We start from the raw sequence: 8,583 nt of genomic DNA on the forward strand, positions 1-8,583 counted from the left end.
GGTAGGGCCTTGGAGCTGTGGCTCCTGGGGGTGGCAGAACTCTGCCTGGCCCAATGCCCAAATGCCGCTGGTGTGGGCATGGGAGGCTGTGTGTACGCCCCTCCTCAGAGGAGACATCCCCTGTCCTGAGCCTGGAGAGTTCGGGGGCTGCCCCTCCCTCAGCCTCAGCCAGACCTAGAGCGCAGGGGCCCCCAGCCAGCGGCCCCTCCTTAGCCCCTCCCTATAGGCTCTGTCAGGGCACCCTGTACTGTCCCATTCTGCCCCCAGGGCTGTTGGCTCAGCCAAGTGAGGACCACGCGGAAGGCGCCCCTGGCTGCGTGCGCCATGCAGGGGCCCTGCTGATGCCTCCCCCTTGTCTCCCTCCAGTACACCTCCAGCATGAGAGCCAAATACCTCGCCACGAGCCAGCCTCGCCCTGACTCCAGCGGCAGCCACTAGACCGCGCCCGGCAGCCACCCACCCCACGTGCCAACTTCCCCTCCCCGTGCCAGCACTGCCGCTTCCACCTGGGCCACCCACCGGACCCTCGCACGCCGTGCCAGGCCTGCCCCAGACGCGTCTGCAGGCCGCTTGCCCTCCTGTCCCCTCCCCGCAGGGGCACAGTGGAGACGCAGGGGCTCTGGGCCCGTACCGCCAACTCGGGTCACACCTGAACGCTGCTGCCAGCCGATGCCCCAGCCCTGCACGCCACCCACTATCCCGGCACGCTCCCTCTGCAGATGGTCGCCGCACCTACAAGCCCTGGCCGCACCCAACCTGTGTTGTTGCCGCCCGGCCCTTCCCTCCACAGCTCTCCTTCCTCCCGCCCGGCACTTCTGTGGACCCCTTCTTAGTTCACAGGCACGGCTGGGGCCGCTCTGTGCTGGCGCCTGCTGGCCACTGAGGGACAGGGACACGTGCCACCTGCTCATCTCTGCCCTGAGGTCACCCCGTGGTCCCTCCACGTGCCCATCTCTCTGCAGTGCCCTCCTCGCCTGTGCAGCCCGCCCACCCACAGGCTCACCCCTCCTGCCGGCTGCCAGAGGCCCCCTCCAGCAGGGCCTCTCTCCGTTGCCCCAGCTTCACTCTCTCCCTCAGCACCTGCCCTGCTGGAGGCCCCAGCCCTCCGTGGACAGCAGGGGCCACGTGGAGCCCGGGCCGCTCACCCGCCACCCAGTGCTGGCCGCCTTCTTGGTGCCAAACCCCCTTCCCCCACCCAGAGACTGGGCAGCTGTGTCTGGTTCGTTCTTTGCACTAACCACATTTGTCATCTCTAGGGCAGGCTGGGGCTGCGGGCTGAGGGGGACCGCTGGCACCCCCCTTCCCTCCCTTCTTGGTTCCATTTCCATCCATGACAGGTACAGCATCCCAGGAGCCCGGCCTGAGGGGCTGGACCCGAGCCGGCTGTGAACATCCCTCAGCCCCTGCTGTCCCCCCTTGGGACTAACCACTAACCTCACCCCCAAACTCCACGGGTGCCCCTAGCTGGCCCAGAGCCGGCAGTGTGAGCCCAAGTCCGGGCTGGAGCCGAGGCCGGAGCAGCTGTCTGGGAGTCAAGGCTGCAGTAGCGTTTCTTCATGGGGTGCTCCAGGGGGTGCCACAGACCGACAGGCAGCCCAAGGGCCTGGACACCCCTCCCCAGGCAGGTGCTGCCCCAGGAGGACTGTCCTCGGGAATGAACCTCCCGCGGGCTTTGGACTGAGGTCCCTGTGGCCTCGGTCTCCTCCCCATGAAGTGGGAGCGAGGCTCCCCAATGGTGCTTTTGGCTTTAGTGTACGATGTTTGCTGTGCTTCCCGCCGTGGAGGGCAGAGCCACCCCACATCAGGATCGGACGTGCTACCCCTCCCGGTCCCGGCCCTGGCCCAGCCAGCCCAGCCCTCGAGGCTCGATGCCTGTGCCAAGGCCAGGGGCAGCCAGAGGGCAGCTGGATGGCCACGTGCAGGGGTCAAGGCTGGGCCCTGCAGTGGGGCGGGCCGCCAGCCCCAGCAGTTTACAGACGCATGGCTCTTCCTCCCAGAGCAGCCGGCAGCTACCTGGACCGGAAATGTCCTCATCCCCTCCCTGGGGCCAGGCTCTGCCCTGGCCTTCCTCTGTGAACCCCTCCTTTCTTTGTGCTGGTGTCTGGGACCAAAAAGGGGGAATATGGGAGGGCAGAGTGGGGAGGGGAGTCCATGGGCCTGGGGCCCCAAGCCGGGGCGTCTGAGCTCCCCAGGCATGACCAAACCTCAGTGGAGGGGCCTCTGCTTCAGGCCCCGCCTGGCTGACATTCTGAGCCCCCCTCGGAGGCCCCGCCACAGCCAACCTGCCCAGTCTTTCCTCTGGGCTTGACCCGCCAGGGGAGTTCTCCAGGCCTAGGGCCAGGAGAGAGGCCCTGGCACCCTGGCGTGGGTGCCCGCCAAACGCCCTGCGACCGCTCAGAAGCACAAATGCTGTCCATGGCCGTGAGGCTGCCTGCCAGGTGAATGGACATAGCGTGAGAGGCGGTGAGGCCAGGGCTTCCAGCCTCGTGCTGTCTCGGGACTCCTGACCGTGGTGTGCGTGTGTGCCCGTCTGTGACTTTCTACTCACCAAGGTTGAAGAAAGGAAACGGGGAAAATCAAAAGGGGTTCAAACCCCACCTCAGTAGGTGGAGGGGAGCGCCTGCCATTGGTTGTATTTTTGTTCTGAGTTTTCGGTGCCGTGTTCCTAACTACTCCATCCCATGACCTCGCCACACCTACTGGGGCATCTGGCTGGTGCCTGCTGCCATGGCCAGCCCCCACTCTCACCCTGCACAGGGGGTCTTGCAGCCCCCAGGCCCACAGCCTCGTTGGGAGGACAGGGTGGCCCTGGGGACAAGAGGGAGGAGCCCAGGGGCTTACCTCACTGAGAGTGCTCCCCAGCAGGCATCCACTACCCCAGGGCCCCCCACATGTCATGGCAAGGTTGGTAGTGAATGGGCCTGGTTGGGAGCAGCCCCTGGCCCATTGCCCACCCACCCATCTCACTATGCAATTCGAGTTCCAAGCAACATTTGCTCCTGCCCTGGGGCCAGCTCTGCCCCAGCCCTGAGAGGGGTGGTGAGGCAGCCCCCTGGACCCCAGAACCCCAGACAAGGGGGCAGGCGGGGGACCAGGGCCTCTCCTGTGGGATCTTTGTTTTGTGTTTAACCATAATGGTTGTGTACTGAACCACTTCATATTTGTTATATATAATATATATATATATAATCTCCTTAAGACTCAGCCTCCTGGTTTACCCCCCCGGCCTGGGCATCTGACCTCCCCCACCCCAGTGTGATTTAACATCCAGGAACTGAGGCCTGAACCATTTTGCATTTCCCCCTCCTCCAGCCTCTGTAGGGCCATGGCTGTATGTACTGTCGCTGTGTTTTTTTGTTTTTTTAGAACTGGGTTTGGGGGCTGATTTTTATTTCTTTGGGGGCTTTTTTTCTTGGCAAATACTAAAAATCTCGTCAATGTAATTTCTGTGGTTTCTATTCAGCTTGGGTTTCATGTTTTAAAATAAATTTTAAAAAGCAAGCCTCTCTTCCTGAGCTGCTTTGGCTCCTGGCTGGGCGCTGGTAGGGAGTCCACGGCTCCAGGCAGGGGCATTGGGGGAACAGGGGGACACTGAGGGTGGGGCCGACCAGGTCAGCTCCGAGGGGTCGGCTGGGCGGGGCCTCTTGTGGTTGCGGGCGGGGCCTCTCGGGGTTGTGGGCGGGTCTTCAGGGGTGGGCGGGGCCTCGGAGTGACTGGGCGGGGCGCCGGGGACAGGCTCTCCAGGGATGGGGTGGGCGGGGCGCCGGGGAAGGCTTTCCAGGGTTGGGGTGGGCAGGGCTTCTGGAATGAGTGGACGAAGGCCTTGCAAAATGGGTGGCCGAGGCCGGGCGCGGTGGCTCACGCCTTTAATCCCAGCACTTTGGGAGGCCGAGGTGGGCGGATCACGAGGTCAGGAGATCGAGACCATCCTGGCTAACACAGTGAAACCCCATCTCTACTAAAAATACAAAAAATTAGCTGGGCGTGGTGGCGGGCGCCTGTAGTCCCAGCTACTCGGGAGGCTGAGGCAGGAGAATGGCGTGAACCCGGGAGGCGGAGCTTGCAGTGAGCTGAGATCACGCCGCTGCACTCCAGCCTGGGCGACAGAGCGAGACGCCATCTCAAAAAAAAACAAAAAAATGGGTGGGCGAGGCGCCGGGAACGAGATCTCGGGGCATGGAGTAGGAGGAGCCTCTCGGAGCGAGTGGGCGGGGCCACGCTCGCTGGGTGGGCGGCTTCTGGCGGGCTCAGGGCGTCGCTCAGGGCGTCGGTGTGCAAAGCAGCGATGGACCCGAGGGTCTGGAGCTGGGAGTGCTGATCCGATCGACGTAGTGAAAGCCTCACTTTGCTGTCTGGACAAGTACTGCCAGGGGCCCGCGGGGACCGGGATCGCTGTGCAGAGGCCCCACTGGCCCTCAGGAGAGGTGAGGGTGCCTGGCCAGGAGCAGGGATGATGGAGGCGTCGAGTGGCCGGGTTGGAGCAATGATGGGTTCCGGGCCGAGCTCTTCCTGAGCCCCCAGTGGCCATCACTCCCCGTCCTTCCAGAAGCAGCATGGAGGCGGGTTCCCGTGCTCCCCGGCCTGGGGGTCCTCTGGCGCCCTTCCTGGAGGCCCGCACAGGGCCCACGTGTTTCAAGGACCCTCCCCACCCCAAGCTCCTGCTAAGAAGCAGGCTTGGGAAGGCACATAACCCTGTAATAACACACTCACCCCACAGGGAGATGTTAGGACCTCCGAAGTTGGGGGAGGCCCCCTTTTGACCAGCAGAGCACAGGCTTGGAGCACAGGTGGTGAGGGAGCCACCAGGCCCAGCAGAGGATGCGGGGGCTCTCTGTGGCTCCCAGCTCTCAGGGCACCTGTGGGCACCTGTGTATGTGGGCGGGGGGGGGGGGGGTTGGGTCCGCTGGGCAGGGCCCCTTCCTCCTGCCACCAGCAGCTTTGCCCAGTGTGCTTGGATTTGACCGTGGCTGCTCCAGGATGGGACCCAGGACGGGCTGGCTCTGAAGGAAGGCTGCCAAGCTCCCCAGAGTGGGGACGCCAGAGCTCTGAGGCTTCTGGGAGTCATGTGATAAGGGACATCTGGGGCTAGGAGCCCATAAGGTCAGAACCCCAGCCTTGGAGCAAGAGCCAGTAGCCACAAGGGAAAGACCCTGGGCATGTCCTTCCCCTTTCAGATCTCAGTCCCTGTCTCTATATCAGGAAAGGTGGAAAACAACATCCTGGTTCCTAACAGGGCAGGGGAGGGAGGGTTCGGGCGGTGGGAGGGTGGGGAGTGGGGCTCATACCACTCATCCACGTACCGGGCCGGTATTTCTAAGTCCAGCCAGTGTTCTGGGCACTGGAGTGCGCCCAGCGAACCAAAGGACAAAGGGCTCTGCCCTCAAAGAGCTGATGCTCCGGTGGAGAGAAACGACAAAATTAACCAGCAGATGACAGACCACGTGAGAACGTGCTGCAGGAAAAAGATCGCGGTGGAGGGATCGGGAGGGCAGGGACAGGGGTGTTGGCCAGGTGCAATTTCCAACAGTCAGGAAATTCTCCCTGGAAAACTGGCAGCCAAGAGAGACTGCTGGAGGCCAGGAAGTGCATGAGGTCCCAAGTGTTGCTATTGCAAAGCACAGCAAGCTCCGTGGGCTTAAGACAACACACCGTCCTACTGTTCTGTGGGCCAGAAGTCTCCATGTGCTAAAGCCAAGGTGTTGGCAGGGCTGGTTTCTTCTGGAGGCTCTGTGGGGAGAGAATCCAGGCGAGAGTCCATTTCCTTGCCCTTTCCAGCTTCTAGAGGCACCCACATTCCTTGGCTGGTGGCCCCTTCCTCCACCTTCAAAGCCAGCAGCAGAGAGTACCATGTCGTCTCTGGCTCTGACCCCGACCCCCCTGCCTGTGATTACACTTGGCCCACGTGGGTAAGTTCCAATCATCTTTCCATCTCAGGATCCACAATTAACTCTTGTTTCCAAAGTCCCTTGGCTTTGCCACGCTAAGTCTGGGGGTGAGGACATGGACAGCTTTGGGAGCCATTATCCTGCCTACCATGGGAAGTCAGGTTTAGTTTTGAGGCTATCTGAGGAAAGCAGGTTCCAGAAGAGAGAACAGCCAGTGCGAATGCCCGGAGGCAGATGCATGCCTGGTGTGTTCAAGCCAGGAGGTGAGGCTGGCCGGAGTGGAGGGAGCTAGGACGAGAGTGGGTGGCTGGAGGTGGGAGAGACTTTGACATTGAACCAGAGGGAGGTGGGAGCCATGAAGGGTCTATGAGCAGAGTGGCATGACCTAACTTTTTTTTTTTTTCTGAGATGGAGTCTCACTGCGATGCCCAGGCTGGCGTGCAATAGTACGATCTCACTGCAACCTTTGCCTCCCGGGTTCAAGCCATTCTCCTGCCTCAGCCTCCCAAGAAGCTGGGATTACAGGCACCCGCCACCACACCTGACTAATTTTTGTATTTTCATTAGAGACGGGCTTTCACCATATTGGCCAGGCTGGTCTCAAACTCCTGACCTCAAGTGATCCGCCCGCCTCGGTCTCCCAAAGTGCTGGGATTACAGGCATGCGCCACTACACCCGGCCCCTAACATTCATTTTAATAGGATTGCCCTGGCTGCTGCACTGGGAAGGGGACAGAGCAAAAGTGGGTGACCAATTAGCAGACTGCTGCAGGGGGGCAGGCGAGAGCTGACGGTGGCCGGGCTGGGTGCAGGGAGTGATAAGAGATTGGGTTCTGGAGGGTAACACCAGCAGCATTTCCTGGCAGACTGGGCATGGGTGTGGGACTTTGATCGAGCAACTGGCTAGGGGGAGGGGGGTAGGGTATTGTCATAAACTGAGATGGGGAGGGCACATGATTGGGTCAGGGGAGGTCAGAGGTCCAGTTTGGGGCACCTTGAGCATATTAGCCATCAAGGGGTGTGGGACGGTGGTGGGATGTACAGTCTCTGGGGTTTGGGGGGAGCACTGGACTGGAGATGCTTTGGCAATTGGGGTCTTTGGCATGGATACAGTGTTTAAAGCCACCAGCCTGGGTGAGATTGCCAAGTGGGTGGGTGTCAAAGAGGAGACAGAGGACCAAAGACTGGATCTGGGCACCCCCCCTGCCCACCTGGTGTTCAGAGTCTGGGAAAAGAGGGAGCTGCAAAGGAAGAGGGGAAGGGGTGAGCTGGAAGGAAGCCCAGGAGAGTGGGTGTCCTGGAAGACACATGAAGACAGCATGTCATGGAGGGATGGAGGACCACGTCAAACGCTGCTGACGGTCAAGCTCAGCGAGGACTAGAATGTAGCCTGCACGTCTGGTGACCATGAGTCACCTGGGGCACAAGACAGGTCTGGTGAAGCCCTCCAGCTGGTCCAGGACAGCATGGGAGAGGAGGAATAGGCACAGCAGCAAGTCTTTTTTTTTTTTTTTTTTCCCCCTGGCTCTGTTGCCCAGGCTGAGTGCAATGGTGCAATCTCAGCTCACTGCAACCTCTGCCTCCCGGGTTCAACTGATTCTCCTGCCTCAGCCTCCCGAGTAGCTGGGATTACAGGTGCCCACCACCATGCCTGGCTAACTTTTGTATTTTAGTAGAGATGGGGGTCTCACCATGTTGGCCAGGCTGGTCTCCAACTCCTGACCTCAAGTGATCCACCCGCCTCAGTCTCCCAGAGTGCTGGGATTACAGGCGTGAGCCACCACACCAGCACTCTCCCAGCACTTTGGGAGGCCAGCATGTGCCTGTAATCCCAGCACTTTGGGAGGATCGTTTGGGCCCAGGAGTTCAACACCAGCCTGAACATAGCAAGACCTCATCTTTATAAAAGATAAAATAGGCTGGGTGTGGTGGCTCACCCTGTAATCCCAGCACTTTGGGAGGCCGAGGTGGGAGGATCATGAGGTCAGGAGATCGAGACCATCCTGGCTAACGTGGTGGAACCCTGTCTCTACTAAAAATACAAAAAAAGCAAAATTAGCCGGGCTTGCTGGTGGGCGCCTGGGGTCCTAGCTACTCAGGAGGCTGAGGCAGGAGAATTCCTTGAACCCGGGAGGCGGAGCTTGCAGTGAGCCGAGATCGCGCCACTGCACTCCAGCCTGGGCGACAGAGTGAGACTCTGTCTCAAAAAAAAAAAAAAGATAAAATAATAAAAATTAGCCAGGCATAGTCATGCACACCTGTAGTAGCAGCTACTCGGGAGCCTGAGGCAGGAGGATCCCTTGAGTCCAGAATTTGGAAGTTGTAGCCAGCTGTGACCGTGCCACTTCACTCCAGCCTGGATGACACAGCAAGACTCTGTATTTAAAAACAAAATCCACACACGTGCCCACACACGAACAGGCACACTTACACGGCTTCTCTGAAGCAATTCTCCTGCCTCAGCCTCCCGAGTAGCTGGGATTACAGGCGCGAGCCACCACGCCCAACTAAATTTTGTGTTTTTAGTAGAGACGGGGTTTCACCATGTTGGCCAGGCTGGTCTCCAACTCCTGACCTCAGGTGATCCACCCACCTGGGCCTCCCAGAGTGCTGGGATTACAGGTGTGAGCCACCACACGCACCCAGCCAACGTGTGTGTTTTCAGATGGGGAAATAACGGCATGTTCGTAAGGTTAAT

The 8,583-nt window shown here is 60.3% G+C and overlaps 1 protein-coding gene across 1 annotated transcript in view, besides 1 other annotated feature; it reads left to right on the plus strand.

The window, feature by feature from the left end:
• The window catches only part of TTYH3 (tweety family member 3), a 32,817-nt gene extending 29,316 nt beyond the window's left edge, over window positions 1-3,501 (plus strand). The window contains exon 14 of the mRNA NM_025250.3: window positions 367-3,501. Coding sequence (NP_079526.1) covers window positions 367-438 — 72 coding nt within the window. The 3' untranslated portion in view covers window positions 439-3,501. The remainder of the gene's footprint in view (window positions 1-366) is intronic.
• Window positions 3,574-3,868: an enhancer, noted in NCBI's record as "tiled region #3776; K562 Activating DNase unmatched - State 8:EnhW". NCBI's record gives its function as "activates a minimal TATA promoter and a strong SV40 promoter by Sharpr-MPRA in K562 cells {active_cell/tissue: K562}" and the evidence as "EXISTENCE:reporter gene assay evidence [ECO:0000049][PMID:27701403]".

Source organism: Homo sapiens, chromosome 7, assembly GCF_000001405.40.
Source record: "Homo sapiens chromosome 7, GRCh38.p14 Primary Assembly".
Classification (NCBI taxonomy): Eukaryota; Metazoa; Chordata; class Mammalia; order Primates; family Hominidae; genus Homo; species Homo sapiens.